The sequence below is a fragment of the Homo sapiens genome, chromosome 15, assembly GCF_000001405.40.
Source record: "Homo sapiens chromosome 15, GRCh38.p14 Primary Assembly".
NCBI lineage: Eukaryota > Metazoa > Chordata > Mammalia > Primates > Hominidae > Homo > Homo sapiens.
In genome coordinates, this window is record NC_000015.10 from 77,240,729 (window position 1) to 77,258,794 (window position 18,066).

The 18,066-nt window shown below is 37.0% G+C and overlaps 1 protein-coding gene across 34 annotated transcripts in view; it reads right to left on the reverse strand.

Annotated features, from left to right (window-relative positions):
* The window catches only part of PEAK1 (pseudopodium enriched atypical kinase 1), a 320,261-nt gene that overhangs the window by 140,075 nt on the left and 162,120 nt on the right, over positions 1-18,066 (reverse strand). For 26 of the 34 annotated variants that reach the window (XM_047433077.1, XM_047433076.1, XM_047433057.1 and 23 more), the window contains 3 exons: positions 14,593-14,695; positions 14,145-14,200; positions 11,639-11,798 (listed from right to left, as the gene is read on the reverse strand). The gene's annotated coding sequence lies outside the window, so the exon portion shown is untranslated. The remainder of the gene's footprint in view (positions 1-11,638; positions 11,799-14,144; positions 14,201-14,592; positions 14,696-18,066) is intronic. The other 8 variants (NM_024776.5, XM_047433065.1, XM_047433063.1 and 5 more) reach the window with 2 other exon arrangements.

The following is an 18,066-nucleotide window of genomic DNA, read 5'->3' on the forward strand; positions in this document are numbered from 1 at the left end:
TTTAGAGACCTAAACTAAACCTTAAGAGGGCCCAACTCTGGCTGAATTCAATATATATTAACATAGTAAGTCTGACACTAATCCTCAAAAACAAATTCTGTGGCCAATAAGCACATGGAAGAGTATTCAATGTCATTATTCTTCAGTGACATGCAAATTAAAATCTCAATTCTGAACAGTCTATTCCAGAAGAGGAAGATATACTTCCCATTCATTTTATGAGATCTGCTTCACCATGATGCTAAAATCAGGCAAAATGTTTGGTATAATTTGTTTGGCAGAAAAAAAAATTTAAAAGAGGCAAAACAGTACTAAAAAAATCAATAAAAACTATACACCAATATCTCTCATAAACACAAACATCTCAACAAAATGTTCCTGTTGTATGTAAAAAGCATAATGCATCACAACCAAGTGCGGTTCATCCTGGAATATACAGAAAGTCCAAAATTTTTTTTAAAAATCCATAAATGTAAACTACTATATTAACAGCTCAAAAAATAAAATCCATATGATCATATCAATTGATACGGAAAATCTGACAAAATCCAACAGCCATTCATAATGAAAACTCTCAGCAAACTGGAAATAGAAGGGAACTTCAACATAATTAAAGGGCACCTACAAAAAAACTACAGCTAATATCGTATTTAATAGTGAGACTGACTGCTTCCTCCTGAAAAGGGTGCAAGACAAGAATGCCTATACTACCATCATTCCTGTTCCACGTATCCTGAAAGTTTTAGTGCAATAGACAAGAAAAAGAAGTAAAAGGCATATATATTGGAAAGGAAAAAATAAAACTGTACCTATTTGCATATGACATGACTATGTATGTGAAAAATCCCAAGGAATCTACAAAAAACTTCTTAGAATTAATACGTATTTTAAGATTGCAGGATACATGGTCAACATAGAAAAATCAATTGTATTTCTATATACAAGCAATGTACTAATAGAAACCAAAATTAAAAAAAAATAACTTTCAGATCAGCTCCAAATAAAAAAAAAATTTAAATAAATCCTTGGGTATAAATCTAAGAAAGCCAAGTATAGGAGGGGTATGCTGAGAACCATAAAATGCTAATAAAAGAAATCAAAGACCAAAATAAATGGAGAGATAGACTATGTTCATCAACTGGAAGACCCAACATAGTAAAGATGTCAATTTTCTTCAAACTAATCCGTAGATTTAATACAATTCCAATCAAACTCCCGCTTTTTTTCACTGAATAATATATAACAAATATTTTTCCACATCAATATTTTTCTATAATATTTCAAATAGCTATACACTCAATTTCTGGATTTATCCTAACATTAATTAACCATTCTTTTGTACTTGATGTTGAATTCTAGTATTTACAGTATGTTCCATATTTCTCTATTATAAACAGGGTTTAGTAAATATTCTCCTAATTCAGTATTTGCACACATCTTTATTTCCTTAAGGTAAATTGTTAGAAGTACATTTTTTGGATCAAACAGTATGCACATAAATACATATATATTTATGCATGTGTGTGTACATATATATTTTAAAGTTTTGATAATACATGTTGTTAAAATGCCCTCTAGAAAGGTCTTTCACCTTTTAAATTTTGACTTAAAACTTAACTCCTCTGAAAAGCCTTCTCCAATTAGCCTTTTCCCACCAATCTCTATTTGGTCTCATTAAATTACTGTATCATTTATTGCACTATTTAAACAATTACTGCTTTAATAAGACATTAAGCCTCTAGGCTATCTGCTCAAAGTGCATGTCTTTGAGGAAATGTAACAGGAGAAAATACACAGGATGATAAACTGATGCGCTATGAAATCGCTAACAAAGGTGGCATGAAAGGATAAAGTATTAGAGTTAAGAGGGTATCACTTTTTTTTCCACAAAAGGGGTCTATTCTAATTGTTTTTAGATTTTCCTATTTTTAGTTTGTGTGCCCATTAAAAGGCAGTAGTTGCAGGTATGGTTTGCATTTTCTGTCTTATCCTTGGAATCAGTTACTGAAAAAAGTTCAAGCTATGGAAAATTTTGTCAAATTCTCCATATCCTCAAAATCCATGTATGCTTTCTCTAGAATTCTATCATGCCTCACTTATAACACATGAAATTGAAGTCAACTGATGTCTTCCAACAGGAAAGTATAACAATCATTCAGAAACACTGCCTATTGTGCCTTACTCTACTTATGAAATGAAATCACATATATTAAATAAGAAACTATCAAACTATGCATATTCAGCATTTGACATCACTCACAATTAGCCTGTACCAATTAACTAGGCCCAACATTGTGAATATGTTTCAATTAAGAAAAATTAATTACCCCTGTTAATTATGAAAGTCACAATGGGATTGTGCTGCTATCTTTCAGGAATTATTTGCTGAGAAATGCTTTCCCTAGTTTATTTCTGTGCTTCCAGTATATGATTTTAAAACATGGCAGCCAGTGTATTGCTAGATTCTTGCAAATATTAAGCAAATATACTAAAGCAGGAGCATATTTTACATAACCATATGTGTCAGACTAAATTTGAGCCAAGAACAAGAATGAATGCAACTCATATCTGATTTATATTTGACAAATACAGAGATATCATAAGCTCCTGTTTTGAATGCCTACATGTTGTTTCCATGGCAACTGCATAAACATTTTCCTCATAAAACACAGCCATCTTCATTCTTTACATCCGATTATTTATTTCTTTCCACTTTCAGGAAAAAGCCTAATTTATTTCCCAGGAAAAATCGATCAATGATTTTCTTAATCAGTAGGATTTGAACAGTAGGTGGCACAGTTATTTTTATGGAAAAACAATTTCCACCAACGCTCTTGCTATGTGATAGAAGGCCGAGGGAAAATAAAAGTAGTTCTTGCTTTAAGGAAAGTGTGACTACAAGCTACAATGAATAATCCTTCAAAGAGGGATGAGAATGTGTATTAGAAACCCACAGATGGGCCAGGTGTGGTGGCTTACGCCTGTAATCCCAGCACTTTGGGAGGCTGAGGTGGGCAGATCACCTGGGGTCGGGAGTACTAGACCAGCCTGACCAACATGCAGAAACTCATCTCTATTAAAAATACAAAATTAGCCGGGAGTGGTGGCACATGTCTGTAATCCCTGCTACTCGGGAGGCTGAGGCAGGAGAATCTCTTGAACTTGAGAGGGGGAGGTTGCGGTGAGCTGAGATCGCGCCATTGCGCTCCAGCCTGGGCAACAGAAGTGAAACTCTTTCTCAAAATAAAAAAAAAAAAAAGAAAAAGAAACCCACAGATGGTTGGCAAAAGTGATCACATTCAACTCCTACTTCTCTTTTCCACATCTGTGGAATATGATGAAGACTCCTTTATGAAAAAAATTATCTTTCATTCCTACAGAGTTTGGTAGTCTTAAAAAAAATACCTTTGCTGTGTGATAGAGACTGTATAGAATGGCTAGCAACTACAGGCAAGAGAAAGACTAGCCCACTTTAAGTAGATCAAATGACAGCAAAAGGAGGATAAAAGGAAACCACATCAGGTTGTTTCACTTTATCTATTATTTGAGACTGAGGTAATTATCACAGATTTCAGTGGCAGCAGATGGAAGAGATCCCATATTGGAGTTTAGCTATCAAATTAACAACAATTTCTCAAAGTCCTCAAAGGGACAGTGGATCTATTAACATTTTTCAGTGCTCAGAATACTCCAGCCTTTACTTCCCTTCTGCACTTGGAGCTCATTGGGCTAGCTAGGGAAGCCAATAGGGATGAATATAGGTATTTACTGCCCTCTCCTCTGGGCTCTCCTGGTCCAACTATAATAGCATTTATCAGTGTTTTGTTATTACTTATATATGATTTCCTCAAGGGACTTTTCTTTTTCTTTTTTTTTTTGAGACAGACTCTTGCTCTGTCACCCAGGCTGGACTGCAGTGGCACAATCTCGGCTCGCTGCAGCCTCCACCTCCTGGGTCCAAGCAATTCTCATGCCTCAGCCTCCCAAGTAGCTGGAACTAAAGGCATGCACCACCATGCCCAGCTAATTTTTGTATTTTTAGTAGAGATGGGGTTTCACCACATTGGGCAGGCTGGTCTCAAAACTCCTGACCTCAAGTGATCCACCTGCCTCAGCCTCAGGTGTGAGCCACCATACTTGGCCTCAAAGGACCTTTATAACACCCTCCCAATCTAACAAAATGTTATGTGAATTGTAAGGTGCTGAATAAGCTAGTGGAATAAAAGAATATTTATTCATAATGTATACACATTTTCTACAATACATAATGCCTCTCAGTCAAAACACTGAACTGTTCCAATAATTCCCCCTACCACTTCAATGTTTCAATTCTCTTCACAGTCTTATTTCTTCCCCTACTTCTACAAAGTGAATCTCTTAATAATCTACTCTTTTTCATTTATTTCCAAGGCCTACGTCAAGGTATAGGCCAAGTATCTTTCGTATGTTTTTGTTTTCGGTCTTAAATGGATGCCTATTACCTGGGCATGGTGGCACATGCCTGCCATCCCAGCTACTTTGGAGGCTGAGGTGGGAGGATCACCTGAGCCCAAGAAGTCAAGGTTGCAGTGAGCCATGATCATGCCACTATACTCTAGCCTAGGCAACAGAGCAAGACTCTGTCTCAAATAATTGAAAAAAAAAAAAGGATGTCTAACTCTTCTTGTACCATTTCTTGAAAAAACTAATCTTTTTGGCCAGGCATGGTGCCTGTAATCTGAGCACTTTGGGAGGCCAAGGCAGGCGGATTGCCTGAGGTCAGGAGTTCAAGACTATCCTGGCCAACATGATGAAACCCTGTCTCTACTAAAAATACAAAAATTAGCCGGGCGTGGTGGCACACACCTGTAGTCCCAGCTACTTGGGAGGCTGAGGCAAGAGAATCACTTGAACCCAGGAGGCAGAGGCTGCAGTGAGCCAAGATTTTACCACTGCACTCCAGCCTGGCCTGGGAAACCGAGTGAGACTCCGTCTCAAAAAAAAAAGTAAAAAGAAAAAACTCATCTTTTTTCATAGATTACCTCTGCATCTTTGTTAAAAATCAATTGAACATATGTGTGTATCTATTTCTGGACTATTTATTCTGTTTTACAGATCTATTTACCCTTTTAACGACAATATACTGCTCAAGTACTGCAGTTTGATTAGTAAGTCTTGAATCAGGTAGTGTGAGTCGTCCCACTTTGTTTCTATTCAGAATTGTTTTTGGCTTTCTAGTTCCTTTACCTTTCCAAAAAAATTTTAGAATCAGCCTGTCGACTCCTATAAAAAAATACCTGCTAGACTTTTTTTTTTTTTTGAGAAAGAGTCTCACTCTGTCGCCAGGCTGGAGTGCAGTGGTGTGATCTCGGCTCACTGCAACCTCCGCCTCCAGGGTTCAAGCAATTATCCTGCCTCAGCCTCTCGAGTAGCTGGGACTACAGGCGCGTGCCACCATTCCCAGCTAATTTTTGTATTTTTAGTAGAGACAAGGTTTCATTATGTTGGCCAGAATGGTCTTGATCTCTTGACCTCATGATCCGCCTGCCTCGGCCTCCCAAAGTGCTGGGATTACAGGCGTGAGCCACTGTGCCTGGCCCCTGCTGGACTTTTGATAGGGATTTTATTCAATCTATAGAACAATTTGAGAGAGCTGACATCTTAATATTGACTAAGCATGGTGGCTCATGCCTGTAATCCCAGCTACTCAGGACGCTGAGGTAGGAGGATCACTTGAGCCCAGGAGGTTGAGGCTACAGTGAGCGGTCTGGACCTCCAGCCTGGGTGGCGGAGTAAGACTTTGTCACAAACCAAAAAACAACTCCAATATTGACTCTTCCAATAGTTGAGCACAATATCTCTTTACTGGGATTTTCTTTGATTATTTTCATGAGTGCTTTGTAGATTATCAGCACAGATGTTGCACATTTAAAAAAATTTACACCTATGTTTTTGTGTTTCATGGTGCTATTATAAATGCTATTGTAAATTTTATAATTTCAATGTCCAATTATTAATTGTGTATAGAAGGACCAGGCATGGTGGCTCACGCCTGCAATCCCAGCACTTTGGGAGGCCGAGGTGGGCGGATCACGAGGTCAGGAGTTCAAGACCAGTCTGGCCAACATAGTGAAGCCTGTCTATACTAAAAATAAAAAAAATTAGCTAAGCATGGTGGTGGGTGCCTGCAATCCTAGCTACTCAAGAGGCTGAGGTTCGAGAATCGTTTGAACTTGGGAGGCAGAGGTTGCAGTGAGCCGAGATCGTGCCAGTGAACTCCAGCCTGGGTGACAGTGTGAGACTCCGTCTCAAAAAAATATAGTGTATAGAAATATGATAGATTTTTATATAATTATTTTGAATCCTGTGACTTTACTAATTCACCACTTATCATTAGTTCTAGTACACTTTTTGGTAGATTCTCTGGGATTTTGTGCATAGAAAATGATTTCATTTGCAAATACTGAGAGCTTACTTCTTCCTCTTCAATCTGCATTCCTTTGATTTCTTTCATTTTTCTTTTTTTGCTTAACTGAACTTGCTATGACTACCTTGTCTTGTTCTCAATTTTAGGAAGAAAGCATTCACTTTTTCACCATTAAGTGTTACATCAGCTCTATGATAGTTATCTTTGCCCTTTACTAGGCTGAGGAAATTCCTTCAATTCCTAGTTTGCTGAGATTATTTATTATGAATTAATGCAGTATCTAACCACTGAGTAATTATATGGGTCATATGGGGTTTTTAATTTTTTTTTTCTCTTTTTTCTTTTCTTTTCTTTTTTTTTTTTTTTTTTTTTGAGACAGAGTCTCACTCTGTCGCCCAGGCTGGAGTGCAATGGCACAACCTCCACCTCCTGGGTTCGAGAGATTCTTGGGCCTCAACATGCCCCAGAGTAGCTGGGATTACAGGTGTGTGCCACCGCACCTGGCTAATTTTTTTATTTGTTTTTTCAGTAGAGACAGGATTTCACCACTTTGGCCAGGCTGGTCTGTCTCAAACTCCTAACCTGAAGTGATCTGCCTGTCTTAGCCTCCCATTCATTTAATTTATTGATATGGTGAATTGCATTGATTCATTCTGAAGATTAAAACAACCTTGAATTTTTGGGATAAAACCTACTTTCATAATGCATTATCCTTTTTACATATTGCTGGTTTTGATTTGCCAATATTTTCTTGAAGATTTTTTTGTCTATGCCTGTAGTTTTCTTTCTTGTAATCTATTTGACTTGTTTTGATATCACAATACTACTAATTTTATAAAATGAGTTGGGAAGTGTTAAATCTTCTTTTATTTCCTGGCATAATTTGTGCAGAACTGATATTATTAAATATTTCCTTGGTAGTATTAATTTTGTTTTTTTTTGGTAGAGATGGGGTCCTTGCTATGCTGCCCAGGCTGGTCTCAAACTCTTGGCCTCAAGTGATCCTCTCACTTTGGCTTCTCATAGTGCTGGGATTACAGGTGTGAACCACTGCACCTGGCCAATCTATTATTTTCTCAAGTGAGCTTTGGTAGTTGAGATGAGGTTGTGGAGTCAGACAAGCTTAGCTGTACCACTAAATAGTCATTTGATACTGGACAATTAACTTTGAGAATGATATCCTCATATATAAAATGGAAATATTAATAACAAGAGCTATGTCAAACAGATTTGTAAGGTTTAAAGATAATCCGTATTCCGTTGAATGAATATTTGTGTCCTCCTCAAAATTCTTATGCTGAAACCTAATCCCCAATGTGTTGTCATTTTGAGGTGGAGCCTTTGGCAGGTGATTATATCCTGAGGACAGAGACCTCATGCATGGGACTAGTAAGAATCCTTATAAAGGAGACTCCAGAGAGCTCACTTGCCCCTTCTGCCATGTGAGGACACAGTGAAAAGACACCATCTATGAACCAGAAAGCAGATGCACTCACCAGATACTAAATATGCTGGTACTTTGGGACTCCCCAGCCTTCAGAACCATGAGAAATAAATTTCTGTTGTTTTCAAGCCACCCAGTTTAGGCCCAATGGACTAAGAATATTAAAAGTGAATCTCAATGTTTCATATATAGTAAGCACTCAGTACACATTATTACTACTATATTTTATTTTATTTTATTTTATTTTAATGTTAAGTTATTTTTGAGATGGAGTCTCACTCTGTCACCCAGGATGGAGTGCAGTGGTGCCATCTCGGCTCACCGCAGCCTCTGCCTCCTGGTTCAAGTGATTCTTGTGCCTCAGCTTCCCGAGTCACTGTGCAGATGTGCACCACCACTTTCGGCTAAGTTTTGTATTTTTTTTGGTAGATTCGGGGTTTCACCATGTTGACTAGGCTGGTCTCAAACTCCTGACCTCAGGTGATCCTCCTGCCTCGGCCTCCCAAAGTGTTGGGTTACAGGCGTGAGCCATGGTGCCTGGCCTATTACTACTATTGAAATTTTTTTTTTTTCTGGACAAATTGCACATAGGCTTCCCTATAAAAGGAAAGTTTTCCTAAATGAAGGCATTGTAAATAATGCTTTAAAGACCTATCAAGTGTTATGAGTTTAAGATTGTAGACAGAGACAGATATCAAATTATTCTTTGTCTGTAAGAATATACTCCCCTACCCACAAAGGCCATAATTTTCAGCTAATGAAATAAACTTAGATAAAACTATTTGACTCAATCTTAGCATTACATAGCTAGAATGTTACTCTTTAAATTTTAGCTTCTTTAGTGGCCATGATAGTTCACACCATTAAAAATCTAAATTTCTAGTTGTGCAAATTAGAAATTCTGTGAATTGCACAATTAGAAATCTGATTCTATTCTCTCTTCAAAGTCACGGTAGATTATAAATTTTGGACACAACCAGCTTGGATGGGGCCAGAAAAATATGTAAATGTAGATGGTCTGCTATGTACCTCATGGATGTGTTATATGATTTCTGAACTGGGCTAGGTGGGAGAATCAGTGCAGTTATTTTACAGTATAGAGAGATGAAGTTCTTATCAAATCTGTTTCTTGATAATATTATAATCTTGAAAACAAACTGGTCTTGAACTCCTGACCTCAGGTGATCCACCCACCTCGGCCTCCCAAAGTGCTGGAATTACAGGTGTGAGCCACTACGCCTGGCCCTGAAACAGATATAATTAAATAGGTACACTTAAATCAATAACAGAGAGACAGGGAAATCTGATCACTTTCTATGTATTATCTCACCTGCATAAGTTAACACTTAACACTTTAATTTCTGCAGTGTTTTAAAAGTTCCTTTCTTCAACAAAAAAAATTTTTTTTAAATAGTTGAGAACCAGAAAGAATTTACTGGATATTTTAGAAGGGTGAATGTGGCCACATGTCTACCAGTGACAAGGGCACAAAAAAGCTCCAATAATGCCACAAGTAGAGGTTTAACCCACAATTAGAGATTTTTTTTTAAAGAAATCACTGTTAAGATATATATATACATATATATACATATATATGTATATGTATATATATACATATATATACATATATATGTATATATATACACATATATATGTATATGTATATATATATATATATATTTTTTTTTGACAGAGTTTCACTCCGTCACCCAGGCTGGAGTGCAGTGGCATGATCTTGGCTCACTGTAACCTCTGCTTCCTGGGTTCAAGCAATTCTCCTGCCTCAGCCTCCTGAGTAGCTGGGATTACAGGCATGCGCCACCACACCCGGCTAATTTTTGTGTTTTTTTGTTTGTTTGTTTTTTGTTTTTTGAGATGGAGTCTCGCTCTGCTGCCCAGACTGGAGTGCAGTGGCGCAATCTCAGCTCACTGTAAGCTCCACCTTCTGGGTTCACGCCACTCTCCTGCCTCAGCCTCCCGAGTAGCTGGGACTACAGGTGCCTGCCACCATACCAGGCTAATTTTTTTTTATTTTTAGCAGAGATAGGGTTTCACCATGTTAGCCAGGATGGTCTCCATCTCCTGACCTTGTGATCTGCCTGCCTCAGCCTCCCAAAGTGCTGGGATTACAGGCGTATGCCACTGCACCTGGCCTAATTTTTATATTTTTAATAGAGATGGGGTTTCACCATGTTGGTCAGGCTGGTCTTGAACTCCTGACCTCAAGTGATCCGCCTGCCTTGGCCTCCCAAAGTGCTGGGATTACAGGCCACCGTGCCCCATCCAAGATATTTTTAATCAAGGTTAATGTTAGTACAGGGAAGAATAATTAGAACATTCATTCTTTGGTATATAATTTCTCCTGTCTCATATTTACCAACATGAAACAGGTTCTGCATTCCTTAGAATTATTAGAACTAGAACATGATGCTATTTGATTGACTTTTCATATCTCCTGCATTTCAAAGCAAGAAACTAGTTTCGGTCCATCATACCCATTCACTATCAAGACATAGTGACTCAAGCAAATGATTATCTCTCAAAATCAAATTAGTAGAAATCCAATGATTAAGAGTTATAATTGTTCACTAGGATTTCAAGTAAAAAATTGGAAATATTTGAATCTTTACAAAACATGCATTGAAATAATTCTGGTCTAGGACTAAGAGGATTTAAGAATGATAAAGGATCTTAAGCCTTCATATAATTGCTTTCTACACTACTTGAAATCAAATAGTATTTTCAATTTCACAAGAAGAAAAAATCTTATAATCCTTCAAAATTTCCCTCTCCTTTACTATTTTGGATTCTTGTCCATTTTATAACTCCCAATTCTTTCGAAATGATTTTCAAAAGGTAGAAAGAAAGAAAGGCAAAAGAGTAAATAAAGATTATATTAAAATAAGATCTCTAGAAACTAGATGTCAAGTAAGGAAAATAAAACAAGAAATAAAGTTCAAAAAATAACACCAAAAAATCCTTTGCATACTGAATAGGAACTACTACCTATGTTGCTTGATTATTTCTATGAAACGAAAAAATAATTGTTGAAGGATGTGAGGTAGGAGGCGGGACTTTACTCCAGAGGTGGGGCTCAGACACTGGACCAGATACAGGACTAGCTAAAATGGGGATGTCAGGGGGGACAGCAGCCTTCAATCATGCCATGTGAATGTACTGTTGCCATGGCAACACCCAGAAGTTACCGCCTCTTTCCATGGTAATGACTCAGTGATTACTACCCTTTCCCTAGAAATTTCTGCATAAATCATCCCTTAATCTGCATGCAGTTAAAGGAAGGTATAAATATGACTGCAAAACTGTCCTGAGCTGCTACTGTCTGCCTACAAAGTACCCCTGCTCTGCAGGAGCAGTCAAAGAGCTGTGATACCACTGGAGCTGTAACACTGCCTGTTCAGTAAAGCTGTTTTCTTCTACCTCTGGCTTGCCCTTTAATTCTTGCCTTCGCAAAGCCAAGATCCCTCATGGGCTAAGCTCTGCTTTAGGGCTCACCTGCCCTGCATCAGATGGACTTATAAATATACTAGTATTTTCCATATTCTTTCTCAAATAATCTTACATTTCTAAATTAAGTTTATAACTAGGGGAAAAAATTCTTTTGAGCAAACATTAAGGACCAAAGCCTGGTTATGCTAAATAAGTTATAAAATGTTCAGCTTTATCTATAGTTTGGCATTTAAGTTAAACATTTAAACTTAAAAAGAAATTCTTTCCAGTCATCTAAAATTCTTGGTGGAAATGTAACATGTTAGGAGAATTCTGCTTACTATTTAAATCTGAAGCACTTCATTCATTCTGGTGACAAAGGTGGTTTTAGCAGCTAGCAAAACATTCCTTCCAAATTTCAAGGTGCTTTGGGTCTTTCCAAGATGAATGTCCTTTCTTCCTTGCCTCTCATTCCTTAATTTCTGAAGATAGCAATGTTTACTGCAAGAGAAAAAAAATAGAGCAAAACTGGAGAGTAATATAATTTCAAATATATTGGACATCTTTTCTTAGATATTCCTAATATCACCCTCACTCAACAGTTATAATTCATCTAATTCATTTAAGGAATATCTTTTCTACTTAGGTGGAGACACGCATAGAACCTCACACACTCAAGACCTCCCCATGGCATACCAAAGAACCAGTAACTTACAAGAACCGAAAGAGCACCGATGCACTTGAGATTTTCTAAGTCTTCATTTGATTGTTTTTGTAGAGACTTATTCTACTGGAAGTATATGAATACTAACTCAATGACAAGTCATTAAACTCGAACTTTATAAAAATATGATTCTAAGGGCCACAATGTCCAACTTCAGTATAAAGACCTCTCTAAAATATTGAAAGCAGGTATCTCCAAATGTAAATATTTCACTAGCCACTTTGCAGTTTTAGTTTAGGCTCAAGTATGATTTTTAATTTCGTTTTTAAAAATATCACCCAAAATTAAATACATGTCTACCTATTTCTGATTCTTGAGCATCTATCTTATACATGTTCAAAACTGACCCAACCCCTAATTTGTTTCACTGTAACACCAAACACAAGAAAAATAACTGAGTTATTGTATACTATATACAAGAGGATGTATATAGATTATATGCAAACACTACATTTTATATAAAGAACCTGAGCATCTGTGAATTTTGGTATGCGTTGGGGGGGGGGTGGTCCTGGAGCCAATCTCCTGAGGACACATCAAGGATGACTGTAATTCCATTTATTATAATATTCTTTTGCTAGTGTGATCATATATTATACCTCTACATATATTACAAAACCTCATAATGATACCATTCAACTTTTGTTTTAAAAAGTCAGCTTTCTTTTAAAGAAAGTGACAGAGGAAAAACAAAAAGCCATTTGTATTTATCACCTTGGTGGTATTCATTTCTTCCTGTAGAACTGAGTTTCCATCTGATATCACTGCCTTTCAGCTTAGAAACTCTTAGTAGTTCTTATATTGTATGTCTATTAACAATAAATATCTAAGTTTTTAAAATGTGAAATTGTCTTACTTTACCTTCATTTTTGAATGATATTTTCATTGGATATTGCATTGTGACCTAAAGGTTTTGTTTTTTCTTCATCCTTACAACTTTTTACTAATGTCATTCCATAATTTTTTGTCTTCGATTTTTCTGATAAGTCAGCTGTCAGTAATATTATTGCTATCCTGTATTTAATGCTTCTTTTGTTTTCTGGCTATTTTGAAGATTTTCTCTTTATCTTTGAACTTTATTTCTATTTTTTTGAGATAGAGTTTTGCTCTTTTGCCCAGGCTCAAGTGCCACGATATTGGCTCACTGCAACATCCACCCTCTGGGTTGAAGCGATTCTCCTGCCTCAGCCTCCTGAGTAGCTGCGATTACAGGTGCCTGCCACCATAACTTGGCTAATTTTTGTATTTTTAGTAGAGACAGCATTTCACCATGTTGGCCAGGCTGGTCCCAAACTCCTGACCTCAGGTGATCCACCTGCCTTGGCCTCCCAAAGTGCTAGAATTACAGGTGTGAGCCACTGCGCCTGGCCTATCTTTGGACTTTAGTAGTGCGACTATTATATGTCTAGATTTGATTTTCTTTGCATTTATTCTACTTGGAGTTTACTGACCTTCATTCTGTGAGTTATGTTTTTGCCCAATATGGGAAATTTTTAGCACTTATTTCTTAAAAAAAAATTGTTCTATCCCATATTCTCCCTTCCTCTTGGGGATTCCAATATACATAAGTTTGACTGCTTATTATTTCACAGGTCATTCAGGATATGTTCTTTTATAAAAATTTTTTCTCTTTATTCTTATTTTTTATTTTCTAACCAAGTAAGCAGCAATGAGTATTTATTATTTTGTTTGTTTGTTTAAAAGGCAGGGTCTCACTCTGTCATCCAGGCTGGAGTACAGTGGCATGATCACGGCTCACTGCATCCTTGACCTCCTAGGCTCAAGCAATCCTCCTGCCTCAGCCTCTTGAGTAGCTGAGACTACAGTCACACGCCACCATGCTCTGCTAATTTTTACATTTTTTGTAGAAACTGGGTCTCACTACATTGCCTAGGCTAGTCCTGAACTCCTGGGCTCAAGCTATCTTCCCACCACAGCCTTTCAAAGTACTAGAATTACAGGTGTGAGCCACCATGCCCGCTGACATACTTTTATTTATGCATCCTTCTAGTCAACCACATATGAATTATATACTTAAGAACTACTGTGTGAAAGGCAGTGTTCTAAGTAGTAGAGAAACAATAAAAATGCAAGATCTCTGCTCTCACAGAGTTTACGTTTACCTTCTAGTACAGAAACATGGACAAATAATAAACTGATTTCAGAGATCTTCAATGCTCTGAAAAAAATAAAATTGACTGTTACAAAGAGAATGGGAAGGTGAAGATGCTGTTTTAGATAGCATATAAACTAAAACTCTCTGAGGAGATGATGCCAAGTTGAAATTGAATAAAATGAGCCAGACATGTAAAGATTTAGGAGTAGAATTTTCCAGATATAGGGCACACATGTATTAAGATAGGAAGGAGTACCTAATGCTCCTAGAAAAAATGTTTCTAAATTATCAAAACAACGAATTAACAATTTGTGAGAAGATATCTTGAATATCATACCAGTACCATGCCCAAAATTTAAAAATTGGCCTGATTTTAAACCTATTAATTATTTATTCCTGTGTAATAACAACAATGAAATAACAATTATTTAAAATTGTTAACTTATTTTACTAACAATGGAAATTCTGTTTGGGTTCTGACTCTCCATTTATTCCAAGCTTCTGCCGGTACCAATCCTTATTTTTATTTCATATTTGAAAACAAAAGTTCTTCTCTCCCTGCATTAGAAAAGAAAGAAGTTACCTTTCTGTTTTATTTCTTGACAATGTTACAACGTTTTGGGAAAACATCATGAAGACATGCAAACAAGAAAAATATTCCCAAAATATGCGGCCATATGCAACTATGTCACCAACCATTTATGATGCAATAGCAGCACTCACCTAAATTAAACCTAAGCCCTTTCTTCCAGAACATTCATAGTACTGGATTTTGGCTACTGGTAAAGAACAACATCAACTATACACCTTAAGGAGGAAGGAAAGAAAATACACTTATGGTTATAAACCATGAAATGCATAATAATTCTTCTAAACTAGGGACTGAATTAATGTTATGGATATAGCACCAAACAAAATAGTAGGGCATATATTTCAATCCTGCTTCAGATAGATATTAGATAACAAATTCTGAGCATTCTAACAGGGGACTGACCAGTATGCTAAGGCACATCAGGTAGAATAAAGAAAATATGCTTTGAAATGTATTTTGTGTTGTAACTGGGTAATAGGGTCATGTGAAAGACATTATAGACACAGGTAATGCAGAAAAGAAGCTATTGTCTCAAGATTGTGAACTAAGAGGAAAAAAATCCAAGATCTTGTAGGTGGGGATAGCATGAAGTTAAATATAAGGTGAAGGGACTTTCTGTTCATGAGTACCCAGACAACTTCATCCAAAAATGACTAAATTCAGGATAAAGAACTATGTACTAATTTGGGAACATTAATAAGATAAGCATAATAAAACAAAAATAGGGAGGAAGGAATTAGCCTTGCATGACTGAAAAATATAAAATGTGCAGGCTTGGTAGTAAGATAAATTAGACACTAGCCTCAACTCCCCAACTGGCTGAAGAAACTCAGACACTATAAATGATTTCAAACCTTTGACACTATATAATCTTTCAAAGCCCTACAGGCTAAAATTGGTGTGATCTTATTTACTCTGCTATTTAACTTAATAGTAGCGAATAGTTTCAGGTAAAAAAAAAAAAATCATATAGAATGGAAATACAATGGTCTACTAGGAATCTGATAGCTTACTGAGGAGATTTTTAATCATAAAGTAAGGGTTGTCAAGCCTTTACCCATAGGTCAAATACAACCTGCCACCTGCTTATATATGGTTTGCTAGGTAAAAATAGTTTTTACATTTTTAAAGAGTTGAAAAAAATCAAAAGGAGAATATTTTGAGACATAAAAACTAGATGAAATTCAAATGTCATGGTCCATAAATAAAATTTTATCAGAACATAGCCAGTTCATTTGTTTATATATTGTCTATGGCTAATTTTTTTTAAATTTTATTATTATTATACTTTAATTTTCAGGGTACATGTGCACAATGTGCAGGTTACTTACATATGTATACATGTGCCATGCTGGTGTGCTGCACCCATTAACTCGTCATTTAGCATTAGCTATATCTCCTAATGCTATCCCTCCCACCTCCCCCCACCCCACAACAGTCCCCAGAGTGTGATGTTCCCCTTCCTGTGTCCATGTGTTCTCATTTTTCAATTCCCACCTATGAGTGAGAACATGCGGTGTTTGGTTTTTTGTCCTTGCGATAGTATACTGAGAATGATGATTTCCAATTTCATCCATGTCCCTACAAAGGACATGAACTCCTCATTTTTTATGGCTGCATAGTATTCCATGGTGCATACGTGTCACATTTTCTTAATCCAGTCTATCATTGATGGACATTTGGGTTGGTTCCAAGTCTTTACTATTGTGAACAGTGCCACAATAAACATACGTGTGCATGTGTCTTTATAGCAGCATGATTTATAGTCCTTTGGGTATATACCCAGTAATGGGATGGCTGGGTCAAATGGTATTTCTAGTTCTAGAGCCCTGAGGAATCGCCACACTGACTTCCACAATGGTTGAACTAGTTTACAGTCCCACCAACAGTGTAAAAGTGTTCCTATTTCTCCACATCCTCTCCAGCACCTGTTGTTTCCTGACTTTTTAATGATTGCCATTCTAACTGGTGTGAGATGGTATCTCATTGTGGTTTTGATTTGCATTTCTCTGATGGCCAGTGATGATGAGCATTTTTTCATGTGTCTTTTGGCTGCATAAATGTCTTCTTTTGAGAAGTGTCTGTTCATGTCCTTCGCCCACTTTTTGATGGGGTTGTTTGTTTTTTTCTTGTAAATTTGTTTGAGTTCACTTTAGATTCTGGATATTAGCCCTTTGTCAGATGAGTAGGTTGCAAAAATTCTCTCCCATTTTGTAGGTTGCCTGTTCACTCTGATGGTAGTTTCTTTTGCTGTGCAGAAGCTCTTTAGTTTAACTAGATCCCATTTGTCAATTTTGGCTTTTGTTGCCATTGCTTTTGGTGTTTTAGACATGAAGTCCTTGCCTGTGCCTATGTCCTGAATGGTAAGGCCTAGGTTTTCTTCTAGGGTTTTTATGGTTTCAGGTCTAACGTTTAAGTCTTTAATCCATCTTGAATTGATTTTTGTATAAGGTGTAAGGAAGGGATCCAGTTTCAGCTTTCTACATATAGCTAGCCAGTTTTCCCATCACCATTTATTAAATAGGGAATCCTTTCCCCATTGCTTGTTTTTCTCAGGTTTGTCAAAGATCAGATAGTTGTAGACATGCGGTGTCATTTCTGAGGGCTCTGTTCTGTTCCATTGATCTATATCTCTATTTTGGTAACAGTACCATGCTGTTTTGGTTACTGTAGCCTTGTAGTATAGTTTGAAGTCAGGTGGCGTGATGCCTCCAGCTTTGTTCTTTTGGCTTAGGATTGACTTGGCAATGCGGGCTCTTTTTGGTTTCATATGAACTTTAAAGTAGTTTTTTCCAATTCTGTGAAGAAAGTCATTGGTAGCTTGATGGGGATGGCATTGAATCTATAAATTACCTTGGGCAGTATGGCCTTTTTCATGATATTGATTCTTCCTACCCATGAGCGTGGAATGTTCTTCCATTTGTTGGTATCCTCTTTTATTTCATTGAGCAGTGGTTTGTAGTTCTCCTTGAAGAGGTCCTTCACGTCCCTTGTACGTTGGATTCCTAGGTATTGTATTCTCTTTGAAGCAATTGTGAATGGGAGTTCACTCATGATTTGGCTCTCTGTTTGTCTGTTATTGGTGTATAAGAATGCTTGTGATTTTGTACATTGATTTTGTATCCTGAGACTTTGCTGAAGTTGCTTATCAGCTTTAGGAGATTTTGGGCTGAGACAATGGGGTTTCTAGATATACAATCATGTCATCTGCAAACAGGGACAATTTGACTTCCTCTTTTCCTAATTGAATACCCTTTATTTCCTTCTCCTGCCTGATTGCCCTGGCCAGAACTTCCAACACTATGTTGAATAGGAGTGGTGAGAGAGGGCATCCCTG